General features: G+C 36.7%; 2 protein-coding genes across 5 annotated transcripts in view, besides 1 other annotated feature; one reads left to right on the forward strand and one right to left on the reverse strand.

The window, feature by feature from the left end:
- On the reverse strand, positions 1 to 25,849 carry ANGPTL5 (angiopoietin like 5). Of its 3 annotated transcripts, NM_178127.5 has the most exons (9): positions 25,346 to 25,849; positions 17,141 to 17,328; positions 16,430 to 16,574; positions 15,071 to 15,174; positions 14,141 to 14,234; positions 11,948 to 12,048; positions 9,757 to 9,877; positions 4,206 to 4,391; positions 1 to 925 (listed from the first exon to the last, which is right to left on the reverse strand). In NM_178127.5, the coding sequence occupies exons 2-9, from the start codon at positions 17,234 to 17,236 to the stop codon at positions 606 to 608; spliced, it is 1,167 nt and encodes a 388-aa protein (NP_835228.2). In that variant the 5' UTR covers positions 17,237 to 17,328; positions 25,346 to 25,849; the 3' UTR covers positions 1 to 605. The 3 variants fall into 3 exon arrangements, with proteins under 3 accessions (NP_835228.2, XP_011541037.1, XP_016872955.1); XM_011542735.4 differs by lacking the exons at positions 11,948 to 12,048; positions 14,141 to 14,234; XM_017017466.3 differs by lacking the exons at positions 9,757 to 9,877; positions 11,948 to 12,048; positions 14,141 to 14,234; positions 15,071 to 15,174.
- Positions 24,256 to 24,355: an enhancer, noted in NCBI's record as "active region_5433". NCBI's record gives its function as "activates an Ori minimal core promoter by ATAC-STARR-seq in GM12878 lymphoblastoid cells {active_cell/tissue: GM12878}" and the evidence as "EXISTENCE:reporter gene assay evidence [ECO:0000049][PMID:35858748]".
- The window catches only part of CEP126 (centrosomal protein 126), an 86,053-nt gene continuing 83,159 nt past the window's right edge, over positions 24,337 to 27,230 (forward strand). For both annotated transcript variants that reach the window (NM_001363543.2, NM_020802.4), the window contains exon 1: positions 24,337 to 24,739. Coding sequence is in view for 1 of the 2 variants with exons in the window: in NM_020802.4 (NP_065853.3) it covers positions 24,612 to 24,739 (128 nt within the window). In the remaining variant the exon portion in view is untranslated. The remainder of the gene's footprint in view (positions 24,740 to 27,230) is intronic.

The following is a 27,230-nucleotide window of genomic DNA, read 5'->3' on the forward strand; positions in this document are numbered from 1 at the left end:
TCAGGATATAAAAGTACATATATTTATTACAAACAATAACAAAATAGTTAACCATGATTAGATATGAAAACAAGAAAAACTATTTGGGCAGCAAACTCTTACTACTTTTAAAATGGTATGGCATCACCTAGAAATAGTAAGGTTTTTACATCATGTGTAGCTTATATATTAATCTGCATAAAGTTATTTATTGTAACTGTCTTCAGTAGAAATTATCTGTAGATTATATAATCATATAAAGTATAAAAATAAGTAAAATATTCCCTTCAATTTTCCTTACAACATATTATGGTTTAAAAATGCTTCAAAGAAAAGGCAAAATCCTTTAAAATCACTATAAATTTTAGGAAGACAAGTTGTAGTTCACTTGAAACAAATTTCATTGTATATTGTTAATATAGTCAGAAGTAAAAACATACAATAAGCCATGTTTTCTTTTATAGAATACTACAAAATTGAAGTTTTCTAATTAAACTCATAACATCTAAATGCCATCTACAGTTAAATTTTGCCTAATATGTTTGAAACACTAAGTGAAAAGATAAACTTTTAAAAATCTTTAATATATTATCATTGTAGAACTTGCATTACAATGTTAAATGAGATTATTTAAAATATGGATTGTACATTCTTCTAATTTTCATTGAAACAGATTTAATCTTGACAGGTGAGTTGTTTTTGGTCCACGTGCCCCATTGAATTCCAGTTGCAAGCAATTTTCCAGAGAAGTGATGAATGCCATTTAGATTTGCTAGACCACACTCGTTAAACCACCAGCCGGTCTTGTTATGGAGGTGACTGCAGCTCTTCACAGACTGACCATTGACCAGGCATGCAGGGCGACACCCATCATTATCAACATCTGATGTGCTAAAAGGCATTGCATTTTGATTATCTTCTTTTTTGAGACCCCGGAATGCATCACCTGGGAAAAAAATTTTTAATGATCGAATTTAAAGGAAATTTCTATTATTTTAATTAATCATTACCAGCATATTAGGCAAGAGCACCACATCTGGAAATAGGGTTTAAATTATTTTCCTACTGTTTATCATGTTAAAATTCTCCTACTCGAAGATTCAACATGCCACAATCTGGTGATGAGTTCCCCAACACAACAGACATCTTTAAATAAATATTTGATATAAAAGTCACAGTCCAAAATGGAGTTTTGCTGTGTAGACAAAACCAGATAATTTAGGCCAAAAATTATAGCATACAGAGCTGTCATAATTTGGACAGACCAATATGATAATTGATAATTTAGGAAAAAAATTAATTTACACAGGGTAGGTTTCCTTACCACTACCATTTATGTCACTTTAGCTAGAGAAACTTTTACCTTTAAGAAATTTAGATTTACAGTTACAGAAGTTGGGGTTTTTTTCTAGGGGCCATCAACTTTATACAGAATACCAAATGCCCTCAAGAAAAATTCAGATATACTGTTGAGGTGTACCTTTTCTTCACGGCTCTTCACATGATTTATGGACCAATTGGATAGTAGTTAAGACAATACCGTTTTTAAAGGGCTTCTACTGAACATTGTTTTATTTTGTTTTGTTTTGTTTTTAAGACAGAGTTTTGCTCTTGTCCCCCCAGTCTGGAGTGGAATTGCATGATCTCGGCTCACTGCAACCTTCACCTCCCAGGGTCAAGCGATTCTCCTGCCTCAGCCTCCCAAGTAGCTGGCATTACAGGCACACACCACCACACCCAGCTAATTTTTGTATTTTTAGTAGAGATGGGATTTCACCATGTTGGCCAGGTTGGTCTTGACCTCCTGACCTCAAGTGATCCACCCACCTCGGCCTCCCAAAGTGCTAGGATTACAGGCGTGATCCACTGCTTCTGGCCTGAACATTGTATGTATGGTATCCCTCGTATTTACAATAACCCTGCAATGATTAAGTATCTTGTCCAAGATGACCCAGTTAACTCAGTGGCAGGAGCAGGAGTCATATTTTGTTTCATAAAATTCCATAAAGTTAAAGATTCTAAGTAAACCCATAATGCCTCCATTTCACCTATATGTAAGCTTTGGCTAATGTTTGAAACACTAATTTAAAAAAGAAGCCATATGCAATCTGTGGAGAAACCAAGCTCTATGTTTGTTTCATTATTTCTGAAAGTTTGGCATCTCTTGAGATAAATCTTTTGAAAGAGCCTGAAGAACTTCATTAGCAGTGGTGGCCTATCCTATACCCCAGTTCTGCTGATTATTAAAGTCTCTGACTCTGCACTTCATGGGAAACAAAACACACACATTGTAGGTATTTTCAGAGAATATATAATCTCCAACACCCACACAGTGTGATACTTTTCCAAAGTTCCAGTGAGAGACAATACCCATGGAGCATTGCCTAAACAATGTGATCACTCCATGGATACTCTCCCTAGATAAAGTCCGACCACCAGAAGGATCATATAGCACATAAGCTCCTCAAGAGATTTTATTTAATTCATTTAAAAAATATATGCATAGGCTTATTTCCTTAAAAATAGCCTATTATAATATAGCCATCATGTTTTCTGTGAGAGTGTGGTTGGAGAACATAACACTTTTCTTTTCCCTAAGAATCCAGAGACATTTATCTCAAGTCTTATAATCAGGAATAGTTGGGATTCTCGTGGAACAAGTGTGTTGCTCAAATATTCAAATTCATATCTCTGTTTTTGCTCCAAGCTCAAAGCCAAATTTGTGACCTGCCTTTACCAAACACCTGATCACATTTAACCCATTGGTTTTATCTGTATTTCTATCATTACATTCTGCTGACACCTTTTTCTTTTATTCTTTTGATTACATTATGTGATCAACAGTTGAAAGTTACTTCATAACCTTGTTGGGAAAATGTAGAGTACAGTATGGCAAAATTTGAGACTTTTGTAACGAAAAAACTTTTGCCATTATCAATATTATCCTTTAATTAGATCCTAGTCATCTTTCAGAGAATCCCCACATAAACTTTTCCTAATATAGTATATTCCACCTTTAGATAGTTCTTTGCACTTTTAGAGAGCAAGCATTGAAAATCATATATTGTAACTTTTTAAACTTTTCCCTATAGATCATGATTGGAATTTCAGACTTTCACCTAATATCACAAGTGTAAACCCCTCAGGTATCATAGATTCCAACCATGTCAGACAACTCTCTGTGACCTATAATTTTCCTCCCTCTATGCCTTAACTTAAGCTGCTCTGTTTGTCAGCCTTCATTTGCTAAAAGCCTAACCATTCTTCCAAGACTAGATCAGTGGTTCTCAACTACAAGTATGCCAACATATCCATCTGGCTTAAAATAACTGAATCAGATTCTACAGGAATATATACTTCTAAAAAGCTTCCCATGTTGAATCTAACATTAACAGCTTGTTAAAAATTGCTTTTCCATGAATATTTTTTGGGTGCAATCAACTGAAATCATTCTCACCCTCTTTCTGACCCCAAAAGTTCTATCAGTATTCTGTATTTCCAGTGTTACTTATCTTCCCCTTTATATTGGGAGCAGTTAAAGACCTGGGAACATATATCATTTATTTTTTGATTTCTAACACTAAATATACATAATGAACAAGTACCACAAACAGCAACAAGGGAGTTGAATTTAGTGCTTTTTAACTCAAATGCCTTTACATTTTCAGCATTAAAATGCAAGTTTAACATCAAGTATTTTGAAGTTCTGACAAATTAAATTTATTTGGAAATGAGCAGATGCATCAAAGTATAATGAAAAAACACTAAACTTGTTGTTCTGTCAGCCTGGATTCTTGCCTTGGCTCAGGTGACGTGATCTGGGAACGTTGGGCAAGTCACTTTATCACTCAGGTTTTTTCACCTGTAAAGTGAGATGACTAGAGATCATCTCTAACAGTCTGTCACTTCTAAATGTCAGCCTCTCTGAACATGAAAATGAAAATGCCTTCACAGCCTACTCCACAGGCTCTCTATCCAAAGAATCAACTGAGATTACATAAGGCAAATTGTTTTAGAGACTATAAAGCACTTCAGAAGCATGAGGTAGTACAATGATCATAACAAAGTTTCAAAACTCAAGACTTGGCCAGCTTTCTTATTCCTAATCTATCCTGTTATCAGTTATGTGTTATATACAAAGACAAATGCATTATTTTTATCTTCACTTAATAATGAGTCAGTTATAATTTAGATCTGGATAATTTTAGGAATAAAAAAAATCTTACCAGCATTTCCTGAATACCGTCCTAAGTGCATTTTAAAAAATCTCGTTTCATCCTCTAGCCAAAAATTATCATATGATGCATAAGCAAGAGTGTCATCTTCAGATTCCAAAGCCACATACAGCATAAAACTGGTATTTTTCTGATTTACTATATAAAAAATCTTTTTCAGTCCTAGCCAAAATTCTCCTGTAAAAAAAATGCTTTGTTTTAATATATTTTAATACAAATTAGAATAATGGTTTATTATTGAATGTTTGGTCTTGTTTAGCATTTCAAAAACTCTGAGATGGCTCAGATAAGTAATTAAAGGCACTGGATGACCTAGCTCAAATTATCAGTGCTTACCTACTTCATAAAACAAACAAAATTCCTACTTCTACTTCACCAGACTTGAGAAAATCAGACCCTTTTTCATTTTTATCTCCCCAAATTAAGTAAAATTTGAGGAGAGAAGATAATAATGATCTCCCCAAATTTTATCTCCCAAAATTAAATTAGTCTTCATTTAAAGAATAAAATAGAAAGTCAAATTTTACCTTAAGGCATTTCAACATAAAACCAATTGAAATATTATGGCAGGTAACAAAACGTTATTTACCAGTAAATGAGAAGGTTTAACCTCCAAATCAGCGGTTCCTGAAGAAAAATTTCCTAAAAACACTCAGTTGAAATTATTTTTTTCTGTCTTGGAATACTTTCTTAACAGACACTTCTTTGCTACAATGCAGCTGGTTAATTTCCTATGCCCTGAACATAATGTAATAACATTGGAATATCCCCGGGTTTAGGATCAATATTTCCAAGACAATTATAGATTCAGGATGAAATATAAAACTCCCCAACTCGGACTGCATACTTCTTGCATACATATTCTAGCCAATGGCTTTCTACCTCTCCCTACCCACGTGGCATAGCCCAAATGTGTATATCTCTGCTCTGAGATATATGCCTCTACTTGAATCATAAAATTATTAAAGAAAATAAGGGTCCAGTCAAAACAAACTTCAGAGTTGGAGAATAACATGACAGCATTCAAACTCTTCAAATTATAGCTAAGATATTAAGTCTTTCTTCAGAGCTCACAGGGGCAGACATTTTAGCAACACGCTCACTTACAATCGAAAAGTAAGGAGAGAAAGTGGGCCCAGTAAAATGGCTCCAGAGGGGTCCACTGAGTCTCACACAGTATACAACACTTCAATTTAAGTGCCCCTGCCATCATTTCCCAGTACCCCACCCTCAAATTTAAGACTTAAAAATACATTTTCTGTAATCCTATATTTATTTATTTATTTATTTATTTATTTATTTATTTATTTATTTATTGAGAGTCTAACTCTGTCACCCAGGCTACGGTGCAGTAGTGCGATCTCGGCTCACTGCAACTTCCGCCTCCCCCCAGTTCAAGCGATTCTCATGCCTCAGCCTCCCAAGTAGCTGGGATTACAGAGGCATGCACCACCACCCCCAGCTAATTTTTGTGTTTATTTTTTATTATACTTAAGTTCTGGGACACATGTGCAAAATGTGCAGGTTTGTTACACAGATATACATGTGGCATGGTGATTCGCTGCACCCATGAACTCGTTATCTACATTAGGTATTTCTTCTAATGCTATCCCTCCTCTAGCCCCCACCCCCTGACAGGCTCCTGTGTGTGATGTTCCCCTCCTTGTGTCCATGTGTTCTCATTGTTCAACTCCTACTTATGAGTGAGAATATGCAGTGTTTGGTTTTCTGTTCCTGTGTTAGTTTGCTGAGAATGACGGTTTCTAGCTTCATCCATGTCCCTGCAAAGGACATGAACTCATTCTTTTTATGGCTGCATAGTATTCCATGGTGTATATGTGCCACATTTTCCTTATCCAGTCTATCATTGATGGGCATTTGGGTTGGTGCCAAGTCTTTGCTGTTGTGAATAGTGCTGCAATACACGTACATGTACATGTGTCTTTATAGTAGAATGATTTATAATCCTTTGGGTATATACCCAGTAATGGGATTGCTGGGTCAAATGGTATTTCTAGTTCTAGATCCTTGAGGAATCACCACACTGTCTTCAACAATGGTTGAACTAATTTACACTCCCACCAACAGTGTAAAAGCGTTCCTATTTCTCCACATCCTCTCCAGCATCTGTTGTTTCCTGACTTTTTACTTATCACCATTCTAACTGGTGTGAGATGGTATCTCCTTGTGGTTTTGATTTGCATTTCTCTAATGACCAGTGATGACAAGCTTTTTTTCATATGTGGTTGGCCGCTTAAATGTCGTCTTTTGAAAAGTGTCTGTTCATATCCTTTGCCCACTTTTTGATGGGCTTGTTTGTTTTTTTCTTGTAAATTTGTTTAAGTTATTTGTAGATTCTGGATATTAGCCCTTTGCCAGAAGGATAGATTGCGAAAATTTTCTCCCACTCTGCAGGTTGCCTATTCACTCTGATGATAGTTTCTTTTGCTGTGCAGGAGCTCTTTAGTTTAATCAGATCCCATTTGTCAATTTTGGCTTTTGTTCAAATTGCTTTTGTTGTTTCAGTCATGAAGTCTTTGCCCATGCCTATGTCCTGAATGGAATTGCCTAGGTTTTCTTCTAGGGATTTTATGGTTTTAGGTCTTACGTTTAAATCTTTAATCTATCTTGAATTAATTTTTGTATAAGGTAAAAGAAAGGGATCCAGTTTCAGTTTTCCGCATATGGCTAGCCAGTTTTCCCAGCACCATTTATTAAAAAGGGAATCCTTTCCCCATTGCTTTTTTTGTCAGGTTTGTCAAAGATCAGATGGTTGTAGATTTGTGGTGTTATTTCTGAGGCCTCTGTTCTATTCCATTGGTCCATATATCTGTTTTGGTACCAGTATCAAGCTGTTTTGGTTACTGTAGCCTTGTAGTATAGTTTGAAGTCAGGTAGCATGATGCCTCCAGCTTTGTTCTTTTTGCTTAGGATTGTCTTGACTATACAGGCTCTTTTTTGGTTCCATATGGAATTTAAAGTAGTTTTTTCTAATTATGTGAAGAAAGTCAATGGTAGCTTGATGGGAATAGCATTGAATCTATAAATTACTCTGGGCAGGCACAGTGGCTCATGTCTGTAATCCCAGCACTTTGGGAGGCCGAGGCAGGTGGATCACCTGAGGTCAGAAGTTCAAGATCAGCCTGATCAACATGGTGAAACCCCATCTCTATTAAATTACAAAAATTAGCTGGGCATGGAGGCAGGCACCTGTAATCCCAACTACTCGGGAGGCTGAGGCAGGAGAATCGCTTGAACCCAGCAGGCAGAGGTTGCAGTGAGCCAAGATCACGCCATTGCTCTCCAGCCTGGGCAACACGAGTGAAACTTCGTCTCAAAAAAAAAAATTACTTTGGGCAGTATGGCCATTTTCATGATACTGATTCTTCCTATTTATGAGCATGGCATGTTTTTCCATTTGTTTGTGTCCTCTCTTATTTCCTTGAGCAGTGGTTTGTAGTTCTTGAAGAGGTCCTTCACATACCTTGTAAGTTGGATTCCTAGGTATTGTATTCTGTTTGTAGCAATTGTGAATGGGAGTTGACTCATGATTTGGCTCTCTGTTATTGGTGTATAGGAATTCTTATGATTTTTACACATTGATGTTGTGTCCTGAGACTTTGCTGAAGTTGCTTATCAGTTTAAGGAACTTTGAGACTGAGGCAATGGGGTTTTCAAAATATACAATCATGTCATCTGCAAACAGAGACAATTTGACTTCCTCTTTTCCTAATTGAATACCCTTTATTTATTTCTCTTGCCTGATTGCCCTGGCCAGAACTTCCAATACTATGTTGAATAGGAGTGGTGAGAGAGGGCATCCTTGTCTTGTGCTGTTTTTCAAAGGGAATGCTTCCAGCTTTTGCCCATTCAATATGATATTGGCTGTGGGTTTGTCATAAATAGCTCTTACTATTTTAAGATACGTTCTATCAATACCTAGTTTATTGAGAGTTTTTAACATGAAGGAGTGTTGAATTTATCAAAGGGCTTTTCTGCGTTTATTGAGATAATCATGTAATTTTCGTCATTGGTTCTGTTTATATGATGGATTATGTTTATTGATTTGCATATGTTGAACCAGCCTTGCATCCCAGGGATGAAGCCAACTTGATCATGGTGGATAAGCTTTTTAATGTGCTGCTGGATTCAGTTTTCCAGTATTTTATTGAGGATTTTCGCATCAATGTTCATCAGGGATATTGGCCTGAAATTTTCTTTTTTTGTTGTGTCTCTGCCAGGTTTTGGTATCAGGATGATTCTGTCCTCATAAAAAGAGTTACGGAGGAGTCCCTCTTTTTCCTACTGGTTGGAATAGTTTCAGAAAGAATGGCACCAGCTCTTCTTTGTACCTCTGGTAAAATTTGGCTGTGAATCCGTCTTTTGTGTTTTTATAGAGACATGGTTTCAACATGTTGGCCAGCCTGGTTTCAAACTCCTGGCCTCAAGCAATCCACCTGCCTTGGCCTCTCAAAGTGCTGGGGTTACAGGCGTGAGCCACTACACCCAGCCCCAAATTTGTTTCCAAAATACACCAGTACAAAGCAGTCTCAGTTTGTATGCAGTATACCTGCCTGAAGACCTGGTTAGTCAAAACTCATATTCTTTCCCCATAGAAATAAATTTGAAGTAAGGAAGATGGCAAAGCCTGCATATGGATCTATAACTACCTAATTCAAGAAGAAGCACTCAATGGAAAAATCAGAAGTAATGCTGAGAAAATGCAAGTAAATTCACTATACTCCAGAGCATGGCAGTTACCTGGGTATAAGCCAAATTGCTTCTAAAATCACTGGCATTCAGTAGCATTTTTAGCACTAGGACTGACACCACCACTTACCAAATCCTTGGATGACATTATTATGAGAGATTAAAGATTTACAATTATAAAAACAGTAACTGTTAAAATAGCATAAAAATTAGTAAACTCACTGGCAGAAGTTCCAATTAATGTAAAATTCTGCAAAGTTCAGAAATATTGGTGTTTCTGTTTACCAGCAAATGTGATGGTGCCATGTGGCAATAATGTAAACAGATTTTACATTGACCTGAGGTTATAATTTTCAAATTTTGAGCATAATGATGTTTACTGACATTTTAATAATATGCTCAGTTTAAATAATTTGGGTTTGCACAGACACATACCTCAATTCGCCATTTCATTGGCTTGTATAGATACAACACACCTCTCAAGAATTTTAAGATCTAGGACAACGCTGCCATTCAGTTTTTCGTTCTGCAAACCGTTGGTGAGCACCTGCCAGAATTCTGCTGGGTGCATAATAGATACTTAATACATATCCAATCTAGAATTTTCACTCAAATCACATTTCACCAGATATCTACAAATAAAGATTTCCAGATCTCCACTGAAGACCTACTTATTTTAAATAATCTGGCATATGAAAAGAGGGTGATTTAAGTTATATTTTGATATTTGCAAGCATTTGCTATTTTTACTACAGATCTGACCAATAGAGGCTCTATAGATATAATATCAAAAAGAGTAAACAATGTAGAGTAGAAATACAAAAAAATTAACCTAGAAGATCTCCAAATCCATCCAGATAATCACACCACAACCTCTGGAAATCAATTATCCCATCAATTCTTTTCTGTATCACAGTCCGTCCACCTCCTCTGTAATCCATGTCACACATTACCTAAAATAAGCACAGAGAAGACCAAAATAATACACTATTATTTTCATTATTTGATAATATAACACTCATGCTTCATCCTTAGGCTTAGAAAAAGAGACGGTACTGCCACTGAGTTTTCAATGCAATCATATGCCATTAATTTATTCAGATGTTTTTTATATTTCTAGAAATAATACTGTTTATTATAAAGCAAACCTGTAATTAACCTAAATAATACTGTTTATTATCAAACAAATTTGTAATTAACTTAATCACAGTCCTTATAACAATCATTTTTAAAAATATGTATTTGCAGCTTTTTTTTCCCCCCTTTTTTTTTGAGACAGAATCTCCCTCTGTCGCCCAGGCTGGAGTGCAGTGGCGCGATCCCGGCTCACTGCAAGCTCCGCCTCCCGGGTTCACGCCATTCTCCCGCCTCAGCCTCCCGAGTAGCTGGGACTACAGGCGCCCGCTAGCACCCCCGGCTTTTTTTTTTTTTTTTTTTTTCTTTTGTATTTTTGTATGTTTTAGTAGAGACGGGGTTTCGCTGTGTTAGCCAGGATGGTCTCGATCTCCTGACCTCGTGATCCTCCCGCCTCCGCCTCCCAGAGTGCTGAGATTACAGGCGTGAGCCACCGCGCCTGGCCGTATTTGCAGCATTTTAAAGTTATCCTCTTATTACTCAACTTTATAAATATTCTTCAGTTTGTATAACAGTATTGCTCTGATGTGGCAGAGCAATGTATTTCTCTATAAACTAAATTTTGAATTAAAACACTGGGGGTGGGGGGGTGTGTGTGCACGGCTAAATATTTCACGTGCTTGTCTTTGCTCTTTTCTCCCACAAACCTGGAAGGCCTGTTTTCAGACTGGCATTTTCAGAGAAAGGCATGATCTGTGCCCACTCAGCAGGTGCTCATAGACACATCTGTTGATGCTGTGTAAAATGCCCCTAAAAGGACCTCTGTAGGGCACCCATAGAAGCGATATAGGGAAGAAATCAGAGCAAAATTCTCCCTCAGAAACTTCCCGCATAGAGACAGAGAAAAGGCAGTGTGGAGGAAGTTAAGGAACCAGCACTTTCCCACAAAAGAGGTGATTATGCATCCCACTCTTCATAAAATTAGAAGCCTTCCTTTTCCACATCTGTTCAGATCCAGTTTTGAATCTGTAGGTGAAGTAACTTAGGTAATTTTAAAATTATTTCCCACCTAATTTCCAATTTTTTGACATCTTGTCAATAGATTCCAAATAAAATAATGGTAGTAACTCTAAGAAGAGAAACCGGTAGTATTTACTTAGAAAAAAAGTGACTTTATTATCCAATAAAGACTATCAATAAGGTATAAGTATCATAAACTTTCTTCTGCACAAAGAAGTGCCCAGGAAAATATATATATAATATATATAACTGTATGTGTGTGTGCGTGTGTATATATACACACACACATATATATTCCATCAATATGCATAGTCTCTAGTAGAAATTTCTACTAGATATCCTTGCAGAGAACTACTAAGAATAGACATAAGAGTAATTTATTTTATCAATTTCAGAATGAATCAGCTTTTCAGTCTGCCTTGTACCCCACTGAAAGGTTTTTTAATTATTAATTTCTCATACAATCACATAAAATCATCTATCATCAGAAGAAATTATAACCATATACAGGAAGGGAAGTCAAAAGTATTTTTAGTAAGCTCCAAGGCAAAGCACACCATTATTTTCCAATATCCACAGGCTAATTAAAGCAAGCAAGTATTTATATTGCATAGTTCTGCCTGCTATAGTTCTGCCTGTTACGAGGATAATACAAGCTTTTGCATCACATGGATTTACTTTAAAGAGTATAACCATGGAAACTCAAATAGAAAAGTGAAAGACAGACTCTAGCTCTTTTATTAATTCATGTTTTGGGCATTAGAATTCTAAAAAACCAAAATTTTGAAAGTAGAACTTTACCTAATTTATTTAAAATTTTTTGAGGAAAAATTAAATATTAAAACAATTTAAATTTTAACATAAATTAAATTGGTTGGATGTTTATCTTAGCCCACATAATACGGGAAAACTTCAAATACGGGAAATACCTCAAATGGGTAGCTAGATCCTTCTGGGTGAATTATGTATAAACCACTCGGTGTTTTGGTGACAGAGCCAATGGTATCCTTAATATCAGTGCAATCTAAACCTAGAAAAGCAAAATTATTTAATTGGGATATTTTCAAATGTACATTTAAGGCAATCATTTTACTATAGAGAATTGATAGTGCTATTATCATAATTTTCATTATTATATTATTTTAACTTCTTCAAAATGAAAAATGGTCACAATTTTAGAAATAAAAAGAAAATATAAGGGATTAAAGAATTTATGCTGCAATAAGCCTTCACTTATAATGTCACTGTTAGTGATTAGTTTCCTATACTATTTAAAAGTTTCATTTGGGATCAACACTTATTAAACATATTTTATAATTACACATTCTCTTTACCAATAAATAATGCCATTTCAGAAATTTAGGTTTATCTTAGAGAATGTAATGTGTAAAGGAAATCTACATGAATAGGGAGGAGAAAACCAAAAGGAATAAGTAGATTAACCACTACAGACACATATTTCACTATTCTATTCCCAACTTCAGAGACTGATGTGTTTGGGACCACTAATACAAGTAGCCAAAGGAAGAAAGGGGAAAATCACTTTCTTCCCCAAGAAATTATGCCTGATGTTAGAGCCTACTCTGTTAACAACAGTTAGAATTATAGCACCCCATAATCACCTTCTCCAAAGCACTCATCTCCCCAGGATTGTAAACACGTGTATGTGGATATGGATATTACATTTTCTGGAAGATACTCTACTCTGTAGCATCTTTTATAAGTGAAATAAATTCAACCCTTAGAGCGTCCATTATCCAAATGCCCATCTTAACATCCTAGTTCTACTCCTAACACTTTACTTCATAGTGTTATCCTAACTATTTACGTAGTAAGGTATTACATAAAGCCTTTACCATAGTGCCCAGCACACCCAAATAATGAAGAAAATGCCATCTACAAAAAGTTAGCTATAAAAAGTCACTTGTTTTCCCCTTCGTCTCTGGGAGACATAGATTTGTTGTTGCCTGTATCCTTAATTGTTAAGAGATATTCTTATAATGACTTTATGCTCAGAGACATGAAAGAAGTTCACGCTGAAGGACCGATCTGGGTTGGAGTGTCTGCTATGTCATTACCTTTCAAATTAATGTGAACAGATTATTTCGATTTTTCTGGGCTGGATATTTCTTATCTGATGATGATGATCATAGCAAGCAAGCCCTTATATTGTTCTGCCTGTGATTCGGGCATTTTTTTTATTTCCTTGTGATAAACATTTGATTCGGGCAATATTTTAAGAGACTTTCCTGTATTTATTCACTTAATCCTCACATCAACTGTAAGAGGTAGGTACTATCAGTTTACTGATGAGAAAACATATCAAGAGAGCAGCAAGCAAGAAATTTGAAACCAAGGAGTCTGACATCAGAGTCCATGCTCCTGACTACCACATTATGCCTGCTTTGGGGCAGTTATGAGATATAATAAAATAATTTTAATAACAAAATAATGTGAGAAAGTGCCTGTCTTCCTACCTATCACATAGAAGATTTTTAGGCACTGTTTATTGTCTTCTTTTTCGAAGAAGGACATAAAGATCATGTTCTAGGCCCTCAATAATATTTATTTGCTTTAAACATTTGGGGATAAATTCATATTTATAAGATTTATAGGGTATTTTTCTTAGAAGTCCAAACCTCTAGGAATTAATATGCTGTATTTTAGTATAAAAAGTGCTAACTTTCAGTTTATTCTTGTCTTACATTTCTTTTTCTTTTCAAATTTTATGCCCCAATTTGAAACATTTCAAACATGTCAAAAACATTTTTTACAGGTGGGAGGAACTTTGAAACTTTCTTTTCTTCTATCTGAAGATGAATTATTAATAAGATATAAACTGGGAGTCCAGAACAAAGCTATAGAAAGCTATGTTATTTTCAACAGCTTCAGGATATCTTTATACAGCCATGGCTTTCACATGGTTGAAAAAGTTTCCCATTTTAAGAAAGTACACGTTGTCTATGGTGAAATTTGCTTAATAGCAGGTATTAGCCCTCCAGTCTGTTAGAGAACGGTGAGCTGTAGTTTTTAAATAAAACTTTTAAATGGATCGACCTGTCCAGGAAAATTTTAAGCAATAAAAGACAAACATGAAAAGGCTGAAATACCAAAGTTCTCACCATGTGACTGAACAGGTCTGTGAGGAAAAGGATCCAGCTGTTTTCTAAAAACTTCTGTAGTCAAAAGGAGAACTCTATTCATGAGCTCGTTAACCTAAACACATGCATACACATTTAAGTAAATTTATATTTGAAGAAATTGCCATCTCTAAGCCTCTCATAAACCCAGCTCTGAAATACGTAATGGTGCCCATTTTTCTAGATTGATTTCTTACTGCTTTAACAAAGAATAAAGGCAAAGCTAAATAGCAATCATTAAATTTCGTAGTATCTACCTCCTTAACGTTGATTTTATCTGCCCCGATTTCTGCATTTGGCTGCTCTTGCACATCTGCCCTTCATACCTTGTCCAAACCATTGCTGTAGTTTCTTACCTCCTCCTTTGGCTCTTCCTCAAGTCATTGGCCACACAAGTTAATCAGATTGTGGCATTTCCTTGCTTAAACACTACAGTGGCTCCTTGGTGTGGTATGACTTCGTTCTTGCCTATTCCTATAGTCAGTTTTCCTTAAATACTCAACCTCACCAGCCACTCCACCCTGTACCAACACCAAGAAGTTTCCCCAGAATGGAATGTCCTCTTCGCCTTACCCAACCTTTATGATTTTTAAAACATTTATTCATCCTTCATGACTGTTAACAGACTTTCTCCTCTGGGAAGCTTTTTGTATCTGAGAGTTCTCTTTTGTGCCATTCTAGCAACCACATTTTTGTCAACACATTTTAATGCTCCACTAGACCATACCCCTTGAATTAAGTTCGATTTTTTTACTGCTTTTTGTTTGCCTAAAGTTTACTATGGTGCCTCTAACATGGTAGGCGCTAAATAGATGTCTGAACATGAATGCATTTTAAAAAAAGATTATACCTCCAGCTAACTATACATCAACGTGTACATGCAATAACAACACAATACTAAAACATCTATACCTGATTAGATAAATAATCCAAGGAAGCTTGTTGCTCATCCATCATATTCCTTAGTAGTTTTTTGGTACTTCTTGTGTAGGAAACAATAGAATTTTGCAAATTTCCTTAACCATAATAAAAAGTGGCTGTTAAATATTATATTGTTACAGAAAACAATTACAGTGAAAAATAGTGAATTTTACCTGATTTTGGATATGTATGTTAACTCAATACTATCTCAATTTATCTTAATACTCAGAATTACATATTTTAGTTAGTATATCTTTTGTTTAACTCAGGATTAACCCCAGAAATGATTGTCTCAATACTTCTTAATGAAACTATGCTTCCTACTAATATAGATTACCCAGAATAATTAATCTGTTATCATTAAGAGACAGTGTTCTGATTATAAATTCTCACTTTATAAGATGAGATATATAGAGGCAGGAGTTATAGGATTCATCAATTCTTACTGTAAAAGAAAGTTAGTGGTGACAGTTTTATACCAGGCAAGTTAATTTTAAAAAGTACATCTTTGTTTTAATTTTTCTATTAATACTATATTTACACAATTAAATTGCTAGCACATACATATACATACACATAATAAATGTTAGTCAAAGGTTTTGGTTATTTGGTTTCTGACTAAACATTTACTATACATTTTCCTTTTAAAAATGTTTTTATCTTAAGAGAAAATTTCTTATAGCGAAGTTGCGATAACAGTACAAATAACTTTTTCCTAATGCCTTTGAGACCATGTTGCCATGATGTACCGTCATGCTATTTCAGTGTATATTTCTTACACCAAAGACATTTCTAATAACATACCACCAAAATTAGGAAATAAACATTCACTACCTATATTTCTCAGACCCTATGTGAGTTTTACCCAAGATAGTAATAATGTTGCCCCCTATAACAAAAGGGCCCACACACTATTACGTATGTTATTCTTTAAAATTTTATTTTCTAACTTTCTTTCCACCAGCAGTAGAATCACATTAAAAAATCTTGATATTTTTAATTCTACCTCACTCTGCTTCCTCTCTCTTTCTTATTTTCAGTCTGTCACTTTCTATTAGCTTTTTCCTGAATTTAGCCATCTGTCTTAATAGGTCTAAAGCTGCACTCATTGGTTTGAGAAGCCTGAGACCCTTTTGTTGCACACAGAATTAGCTACATAGAGAAAGGATCCATTCATTTACCAAATATTTATTAAGCACCTATTATGGGCCAAACAATAAAGCTTCTGGCCTAGGATGATCAGGATGTATAGAAAATGACCCAGACAAAAGCTAAAGTATACTTTTCAGTGTCTACCCTAAAAATAATGAATCATATACTCTTATTATTTTGTTTATTTTTAATACTTACTACACATGAAATGTTTTTCTTCTCGTGTAATTTTAGTTTTAACATCACATGATTCCTCACAGTCTTCCTTACAAACAGTATCATTACTTTTACTTTCATCTTTTGCATTAGATCCATCTTCTACAATGTTAACTACTGAAGAGTCCTTTATATTAAAAAATAGAAATAAGAAAAAAATACATTAAACATGTTATATGACCTAATACATAATAAAAAAGACTATAGAGAAAAGCTTAGATTTCAGGAAAGACAAGGCTGATCATTAGAGAGAAATATAAGCTATTTAATTCAAACTTCCACAAATAAACCTGATGAGTAAATAAAATCAAACGGACCAATTTCTTAATTTCCTGGGTAGCCACTCACAGGACAATATTTGAAATATGAAAGTTTGTGGAACAGCTTTTTTTTTAAGCAAAGTGATTTTTTACTACCTATCAGATATTTCATTGAAAAGTTGTGGGCTAGTTTTTAATCTAGGCCTGAAATGTCTTCAAAATATTTTCATATCTGTTGAATCAATCCTCAGTTTATAGTTTCCTCAGTTTAAATACAGTAATATTAAAGCAATTTTCAACATTTCTAAATACATGTTTTAATTGTTCCATAAATTATATTTGGTAGTTATGATTAATCTTTTCAAAATTCTAATATATATCTTGAAAGCTAATCATGCTTTCCTAGCTAATATAATATTGCTAAAATTCTTACCGTAGAATGATGTACACAGTTACCTTGTACAGCTTCTCCACAAATAAAAATACATACATTTAAGAATAAGAGTGAGGCTTGGGATGGAGACATCATATTTTTCTTGGATAGATGAAAACACTTCTTCAAATATCAGTCAGCTCTTTGTGGAAAGAACTACAGAGCATAGAGTCTTCAGTTAAAAACCTCTGGAAAGCGTACAACAAAAACATAAGCCAAAACTTACTAGTTTCCATGCCCTGGTTTGAAACAACACCCTTCATATGAAAAACAAAGTAGCCTCTGGAGATCCTGACATTTTAAATTGTACAATTCCTTTTTTATCACTTCATGTCTGTATTATAAATCCAAGCTTTTGCAATATAGGCAACAAATAGATAAATAAGTAAATAAATAAATAAATGACAGATGTAGACAGATAAATAAAGCATGAATTTATAAATTCATCTAATTTTTGTGAGTCAGCCTTTTCTTGCCTTGGGAAAAAAAATGGCTTTGATAAGCTATACATCAATAATTGCAAACTGCTTGCAAAAAAATAGGAAGTAGAAATGACTGATGGAGTGGGAAAAATATTACCTTGGAACTATTTCTATAAAATGCTAAGTAGAAATTTGATCGAGGTGGACATCCAGAGCAGATAATTCAGACTTAAAATATACTTTTAAAATGCCAAATCTCAACGCTGGGCGCAGTGGCTCACGCCTGTAATCCCAACACTTTGGGAGGCTGAGGTAGGTGGATCACCTGAGGTCAGGAGTTCAAGACCAGCCTGGTCAACATGGCGAAACCTCGTCTCTACTAAAAAATACAAAAATTAGCCGGGCGTTGTAGCAGGTGCCTGTAATCCCAGCTGCTAGGGAGGCTGAGGCAGGGAGAATCGCTTGAACCTGGGAGGCAGAGGTTGCAGTGAGCCGAGATCACGCCACTGCACTCCAGCCTGGGCGAAAGAGTGAGACTCCATCTCAAAAAAAAAAAAAAAAAAAATTGCAAATTTCTAAGACTGTAATTAATCTGTAATTAGTTGTAATCTAATTACAACTATTTTGTTAAAACTGTAAAAATTCTGAACATCAGAGAAATAATATTATTGAAAATGACCACTCTTTGAAGGTTGATAGATGAATGTCTTCAAATTTTCCCTTTCAATGTCTCCTTCCCTTCATTCTACACACATGCCTAAGTCTTCATTATTCTAAAATTAAGAGGCAAAGCAAAACTTTCCTGCATCTTCCTTCTGGTTCGAGACATTATTTTCTCCATCTCCTTTCCTAACCTGAGAACTGCCATAGTTTTTATGGTACTAGTACAATGACTGATACACAAGAGGCACTCAAATATTTTCTTAATGAAGAAACAGCTTAAAATAATTATCTGTTCTCTGACTTTCCTTCCTCACCACCTACTATTTAAACCCAAACAATCATATCTCTTATTTGTGGCAATCACTTTCTCAGAGTTTCTCCAGTGAGACAGTATGAGATGGTTGGGAGTGCCGGCTCCAAGACCAGATTGCCTGATTTAAAGATTAGTTTCAACACTCCCTTACCCTGGAATCTTGGACAAAGTTACTAATATTGCTATAGCTTGATTACCTCCTTTGTATTATGGAAATTGTTGTATGGATTAAAAGATATGTAACATTGCGGACAATATTGATGACTTTTATAATTTATATTAATAGGCAAATACACATATTGTAATCTTAAATTTCTAGTTGAAGTCTTACAAAATTCAAGTGAAAATGGCAGAACTTCAGCAGAAGTTGGCAGAACTTTAAATCAGCCAGATGTTAAAATTCTTTGTTCTTTCACATCTTGCCCAGAGACCAATTCAGGAAATTCTTATTTGAGCAAGAAAATACTTCAGTGGAAGATGGAAAAAAAAAAATAGCCTCAGCCAAGACAAAAGTGAAAGCACAAAAAAATTGTCCATCACAGCTGCCACATGGTTATAATACTTGTTAAATTAAATAAGCAGGAGGCCATTGCCTGAGGCTGTCTCTGTACTTTGAGTTCCTCTGTAGCAAACTGCAGCCTGACTTAGGAGTATATTTTTTGTAACAAATAGTGGAGTTTCAGCCAATCATAGGCAGCCAACTAATCAGAGTATACCCAAATAAGATAAACACCTAGCTGTAGGCAATCACATGATTCCTCTACTTTGTTTCTGTGTCCAACAAAATCTTGCTGCTCATGCTGCTGGGTGGAGCTCTCTGAACTTCTTGTTCTGGGTGCTGCCCAATTCGTAAATCATTCTTTGCTCAAATAAATTCTGTTTATTTTCTGTTCTAAAGATACTAAAAATAATATTCAGGCTGGGCGCGGTGGCTCACGCCTGTAATCCCAGCACTTTGGGAGGCTGAGGCGGGCGGATTACCTGAGGTTGGGAGTTTGAGGCCAGCCTGACCAACAAGGAGAAACCCTGTCTCTACTAAAAATACAAAATTAGCTGGGCGTGGTGGCGCATGCCTGTAATCCCAGCTACTCAGGAGCCTGAGGCAGGAGGATTGCTTGAACCCGGGAGGTAGAGGTTGTGGTGAGCCGAGATCATGCCATTGCACTCCAGCCTGAACAACAAGAGCAAAACTCCGTCTCAAAAAAAAAAAAAAATATATATATATATATATATATTCAAATTAGATAAGTTATGTGAATATGCTTTATAACCATAAAGTGGTTATTATTAGTTTCCTTTGTAAATAAAACATCAACGATTTATGAGACCACATTAATGAAATTGCATGTCTAATAGACATCTCACATTTAACATGTTTGAAGCCTAACTCGTATTCCTTATTCCACCCCTACCTATTCTTTCCCATCTTAGTAATGGCAACACACTTTATCCAATTGTTTGAGCCAAAAATCTGAGTCACATTTGACTTTTTTTCTCTCGCTTACTGCAACCATCCACCAACACATCTTATTGGCTCAAGGTTCAAACTGTAAACATTTCTTGCCACCTCCACTGCTACCATCCTAGTCCAAGTCTGCCATCTCTGGTAACCTTAAAACTGTCCTTATTGTTTCTGGTCTTATCTCCTACAACCTAGTTTTCCCCACAACAACTAGAGGGTCTCTTTAAAGGTTCAATAAAATTGTGTTACTCTTCTAATCAAAACTCTCAAATGGATTTCCCTCCATTGAAAGTTGGATTTTACATTAAGTCCTTGCATACAATACAAGTCGCCACTAAATCTGGGCCATGTACCTCTACAATCTCATATGTTAGCACACTTCCCTTATTATATGGTTTGGACCTGCATCCCTACCCAAATCTTTTTTTTTTTTTTTTTTTTTTTTTTTTTTTTTTTTTTTTTTTTTTTGAGACAGAGCCTTGCTCTGTCACCCAGGCTGGAATGCAATTGCACAATCTCGGCTCACTGCAACCTCTGCCTCCCAGTTTCAATCGATTCTCCTTCCTCCGCCTCCCAAGTAGCAGGGATTACAGGCGCTTGCCACCACGCCCAGTTAATTTTTGTGTTTTTAGTAGAGATGGGGTTTCACCATGTTGGCCAGGCTGGTCTCAAACTCCTGACTTCAGGTGATCCACCTGTCTTGGCCTCCCAAAGTGCTGGGATTACAGGCGTGAGCCACCATGCCAGGCCTCCCCGCCCAAATCTTACGTCAAACTGTAATCCCCAATGTTGGAGGTAGGGCCTGATGGAAGGTGATTGGATCATGGGGGCAGATATCCCCACTGATGCTGTTCTCACAATAGTAAGTGAGTTCTCATGAGATCCGGTCATTTTAAAAGTGTGTGGCACCTCCCCTCTCTCTTTCAGTCCTGCTCCTGCCATGTAAGATGCCTGCTCCCACTTTTCCTTCTACCATGAGTAAAAAGCTCCCTAAAGCCTCCCCAGAAGCAGATGCTGCCATGCTTTCTGTACAGCCTGCAGAACCATGAGCCAATAAAACCTCTTTTCTTTATAAATTACCGACTCTCAGGTGTTTCTTTATAGCAGTGCGAGAACTGCCTAATACACCCTACCTCACTCTATTCCAGCAACAGTGGTCTTGTGCTGTTCTTTGAGCACAACAGTATGATTCTGTCCTCACAGTCTTCTGTACTCACAGACCCCTGTGCCCTTATTCTTCATCCAGATATTTGAATGGCAACCTCTTTCCTTCATTCAGACCTCTGTCCTAATTTCCCTTCCTTTGGGGCCTTTCCTGAGCACCCTCTCACAGATAGAACTGACATTGGTCTCTATCCCCCTTCACTATCCCACTTTCCATGTAGCACTTTTCACTACCCTAATATGTTCTAGTGGGGAAGAAAAATAAATATAAGCTTCACGAACATAAGGACTTTGAAGTTTTATTCACTGTATCCCTAGCACCTGGAAAGTGCTTGGCACATAGTAGGTGCTCAATATATATTTCCTTAGCAAAAGAAGGAATTGTTTTATGGTTTTAAAGTGTGAAAGAATATAACATTGTATTTAATTCAGATGCCCCTTCTGATAAAAAATAGGGATTTTAGGGTAACATTCTTCTTTACTGCTTGAATCACAACTGCCTTTCCTGTCAAGAGATGAAGTTGATAAAATCCTCAAATTTTTTATTATCCAAATATCTAATCCTAAAGCCTTTTTCCATAAATAACACTGACAAAAAAGTCATGACAAAATCAAGCATCATGATGTTCAGAGCCCCTTGGGCCCTGCCTTTCTATAAGAATCTAGGATTCTACAACTTAAATAGAATGTGGAAAACCCACTTAATATTTTGAAGAAATAAAGAAAGAATTTAAAGGTCGAAAAAACCTATGATTAAAAAAACTGGCAACATTGTTTGAAATTTCTTTTCTTCTTGGTTGTTACCGTAAAACAATATTTGAATGAAGAATAATTATATAAGTCTAAACTGAAATAAAATCCTAAGCCCCCACTGACTGAATAGACCCCCTCTTGGCCAAGGGGACCCTGGGAAAACCTTAAAACTGAGTTCCCAGCCATAATGGGATGGAAGGTCAGCTATGCCTCATTATATCCTCTTCCTGTTGTAGTTTGGACACAATTGACCAGGATTAACGTTAAAGTAGAGATCATTAGACTGACGGAACAGACACTTGGTGGCAGTAAGATATCAAATTACAAATAGGACCTAAGGCCATGCCAGGCAAGGGTTAAGTCATGCACTCCTACACTTAAAGAATAAACTATGTTTAACTTCCACAAGTTTTCTGTTTTTCTCTAGCAGCTAAACAAACACTGGCCTTGAGATAAGCAATAGTAAAACAATCGTAGCTCACCACCAGACACTGACTAACTGACCCTCTGTTCCATAAGCCATAACTACAGCTTTGATTGGACAACAGACTGATTTCAATAACTTTCTCCTGATGAGAACATCACCAACCATGAGGTGGTTCTGGCCAGTTTAAGAGGACTGCTCACTTGAGTGCCTTTGTGTCCTAAAAAAAATTTAGACATAATAGGGCCTAATTGTAATGCAATTAAATGTTAAGTCTCCAGCCCAAAATGAACATGGGTCATATGTTACTGTTTGTTCAATATACATGCATCAGAACTACCTTCATAAATATTCATAGCTCCTCCTATATCCTATAAATTATGTATGTTTAGCCAACTTTTCAGCATAAATCTCCTACCTCAACATCCCTCCTTCAAAGTACCTGCCTCTTTAGGCTTCAGTTGGAGGCACACTCCCAGCTTGTGGGATGGCCCTCCTTTCAGGCTGTAACCCTTTCCTCTCCTTTCTAGATTCATAAATTACGTGTTTTTTTAAGTTAACGTAAGAAAGGATTTATAGGCAATTGAGAAACCAAATTATGCTTCTTAGTGCTAATATACCAAGCCACAAAGCAGTGAGATGCCTAGGACTTACGAGATCGCAAACTAATAATATAGCAAAAGCTGGACTTCTGGAAAGCTAACCATGCCTAAATATTCCAAATAGCAACTCTAATATTCTCATATTCATCTGTACTTTGCACTGCCCTACTTTACTCAGATCACCCATGGGGAGACAAACGTGTGATGACAGCAGTGGGAATAGAATCAAGGCCATTGCCTGTGGCTAGGCCAATTAAAAACTTGCCAAGATAGCCAAGTGTCCAGTTGTATACATTTAGCTTTTCATGTCAGAATTGTATATTTTATCCTGTTGGTATGCTTCTGAAGGAGAGTTCATGTGTTTTGTGTCTTAAATCGAAACTGGATTTGTTGTGGCACTTTAAAATCTGTCGCCAGTGTACATTCCAATTTGAGTCATTGCAACCAAGTTTGCAAAGATTGTTTTAAACAGTTTCAACTGGAAAAGTTTATTATTTGAAATCTTAAAATGAACAAATTAATTCACAAAGGCAGAGACATTTGAATGGTGGGTGAATAATCTTTATTTGGTCTGTACTTTCTGCTTCCAATCTGGGAATTTTTCCAAGAAAACACTGACTGAAATACAGTCAGAATTTATATATGCATTTACATTAGGCTCCAACAATAAGATTCAGCCTTTTTCAAAACTGTCACTTGCATAGCCAATAAACTAGTGTCTCAAAAATCCATTTAATTTTCCATACTTCCCAAAACCATTTCAATGCGATGATCTCTTTTGGCATATCTTCCCAAGAGATTGCTAGTTTTGCTGTGATGGTCCATTTCCAGAATCTGGCAGCAATGCGAGAACCATTAGGAGGCTTTGAAATGTAGACCTTCTAAGTAGGGCAAAGGCAAGGAAGACGACTGCAGAGGGAATGCCAGAAGCATTACCGAGTGGATGAGAGAATGCAGGGAAGGAAAATTTCCACTTCACAAAGACATTTTAAAGAGACGGTGTTTGGGGATGATGATGCCACAGAAAGACTCACAACTCAAAATCTCACAACAGGATTCAGTAGTTTAACAAATTCAACTCCAAATTGTCCCCCAGACAATCACTGCAGACTCCTCCCGGTGGCAATTGCCTGTATCTGAGGATTTTACATCTGTCTTTCGTCACTGTCGGTACTGCCACAAAAACACTCTCATAAAAAGGGAGGCAGAACTGCATCAGGCTCTAAAACAACACTCAGCTCACCCCTCGCGCAACAACCCGGGTCCCTAGGGATGCTTGGGTTGCCACCCGCCGCTCGAAGCTGGAGGGGCCGCCGGAGCCTGCGATTGGCTGCTTCGGGCACATCGTCCCGCCCCGACCTGTAGCTCCTCCCAGGTTTCCGTTGTCAAGGACGCGCCGTCGGTTGTTGTCAAGATGGCGGCTGCAGGGTTGCTGCCGCCCCATCTGCTATTGCCCGGCGAGGTCGCCGCTGCCTCAGCTGCCATCGCCGCTACAGGCACCAGTGCCGCTGCGCGGGAGCTAGGGCTGTCGAGGCCAACCCTTCCGCGCCCGTGACGCGGGGCCTGAGAGACGGAGTGTAGGGAGGGGCCGAGCAGGAGGAGGAGGAAGCCGGAGCTGCCATGAGGGAGGTTCTGGGGGCGAGCAGACAGGCGGCGCTGAAGTGAAGGATGCTGGCGGGGAGGCCCGGAACCCGGAGCGCGGTCGGGGAACTGGGCACTGAATCATCGGACAACCTCGACAGAGCCCCCCTCGGCCCTCGGGAGAGCGGCGGGCATCACCGACCTGGCTCTTACCTGTATCCTTCCCAGCCTGTGGCTGCCAGGGTAGCGATGTTGAAAACGGGGCCCATCTTTTTCCAATTAGATTCCCATTACCTTTGACGCAGGGTGATCAAAACTAGCAAGTCATCTTAGTGCAGATATTTCCTTTAGCAACTGTCGTGTCTCACCTTAGACCTGAAATTATACCATTTTATCTAATTCTGTGGCTGCTTCCCCCCATCACCCTGTTATCCTACTCCCATTCTTCAACTTTGTAAAATTTTTGTGAATTTTAAAACACATCAACTGTGTATTCTGTGGGGATATTTTTATGCCATTATGTTCTTTACTTACATATTAACTACTTCCTGATTTATCGTACTACTTGGAGAGAGAAATTACACAAATAAGTAAAATGTTTTGCTATCCTAAAGAGTCCGTTTTAACAGTTATCCTAACACAGCCCTAAATGCATTTACCAGAGCTGCTAAAGGCTACACAGTTTGGTAAGTTGTTTTGTTTTCCATCTCTGCCCAGTCTGTTGTCAGAGCGACAGAAAAGAGGAAATGAGAAACAGGGGACCTGGACGCTTTACAATCTGGATTAACTCTGACTTTTCTCGAAGAGTTGGTTAAGCCTACCTTTGATGTTGCTGTTGGTTGCATTGTAGAAAATGGAAAGAGGAGAAGTATTTTGTTATCAAAATCTGTAAATCAGGTTTATTCCTTTAGAGACTGTTGTGATGATTAGGATTTAACCTTTGTATTCCCAAAGGACTTGGTTGGCAATGATGGTGTTGTGTAATCATCTTCAGTCTTGTCAGAGATGAGTGTCTTCTCTTTCCAAGTTAACTCTGTTTTCTTATCCCCTTTGTCTCCAATTTCTAGGATGTTCTTTGTACTCTGTTACAATTTTAGCAGCAAGTCAACAATTTGTATTGAGTGCCTGCTCTTTGGCTGACTCTGTTCTAGGTTCTAGGGATACAAATCTAGTGAGGAAGACAAATGTGTATAGAGCTTCACTAAAAGTAAAATATCTCTTCTCCGATCATGCTTTCTGCAATCTTCCATCCCTTCAGTCTTTTCTTTCTTTGGGCAGGTTCTCAAAATGGTAGCTTGCAATAGCTGCTTCTAGTTCCTCTCATCTATTCATTATTAACCCCATTCAGTTTGGCTTTTGCCCTTGCTGCTCCCCAAAATTGCCCTCTTAAAGGTTACTCTGAAATGAACACAATCATTTTCTGTATGGATTTAATTCTGGCCTCTTGACATTATATTTTCTTGGACACAACTGCTATTACACGACCCTGATTTATCTCTAAATCAGAAAATAGGGAAGTATTGTAAATGGCTCATTGAGAGTGTATTTTCTGTTATTTTCATTAATAAAATGGTTGTAGGCCTCATTTTTTAAATTTTATGTGGTATAAATTTTTGATACAAATGCCAAAGAAAATATTCATAAATAGAATCCAGCAATACTTTGAATGAACACAACCAAATAGACTCTATTCCAGAATTAGAATGACATTTCCTATAAAGAAATACAACACTAAAAAAGATCCTTAAAGGCTAAATATATAGTTAAAATTAGGCAAGTTATAAATGAACATTTTAATAGATGACCAATAGACTTTGATAAAATCCAACAATGTGTGTGTGTGTGTGTGTGTGTGTGTGTGTGTGTGTGTGTGTGTGTGCTGGTTTATATATATTTTTGCTAGTTTGCATATGTGTGTATATATATGTTTAGATAATATATATTTAAATTGGAACAGAGGAATTATTTTTGAACATAATAAAGATTATAACACTAAATCAAGAACATTATGTTTGCTAGCTGGAAAAACACTAAAGTACCTTTTATATAAGTTTAATTGGAATGTTCTTTGTGTCTATAATGTTTCCCATTGGATACCTAGCACAGAGTAGGTGCTCAAATTTACATGACTAAATGAAAAAAAGGAAAGAAAGCAAATGAAAGGACCACAGCCTTAAAATAAGCAAGTATGTGGTAACATTTACATTTCAATTTCAAATATGAACATGATACTCAGAGGCCATCTGGCTTTCTGTTGAAGACATTTTCTCACTGGAGTCAGAATTTTCTGACTCTAAAGGTTATAAAACAACAAAACCTTATGAAGTTTATTTAATTAAAATTAGCTAAAGTTCTGTCATTTCAATCTCTTTTTCTCTTTTGAGAGTTCAAATAGAAATGGAATTTAAAAAAAAAAAAAAAAGGAAGGTCTCTCATGTCCCCTTATACCTGCCTTTTTTTCCTCATAAATATCTCTACCCTTCAACCCTCCCATTTTATCCTAGCACCCACCTTGCCTCTCCTTTCCTCTCCAGTTTATACCCTATTCTTAACTATTTGAACTTTCTCTCACCAACATCTTTGGCTATTTGTACCCCAATCATTCTGCCTCAGCCACTCAATAACTACTATAGTCCTGCTCCTTTACTCCTTCATGCGAATAATAAAAATGCTGTCAAAGAAAAATCACAAAACAATACAGATTGT

Source organism: Homo sapiens, chromosome 11 (genome assembly GCF_000001405.40).
Source record: "Homo sapiens chromosome 11, GRCh38.p14 Primary Assembly".
Taxonomy (NCBI): domain Eukaryota; kingdom Metazoa; phylum Chordata; class Mammalia; order Primates; family Hominidae; genus Homo; species Homo sapiens.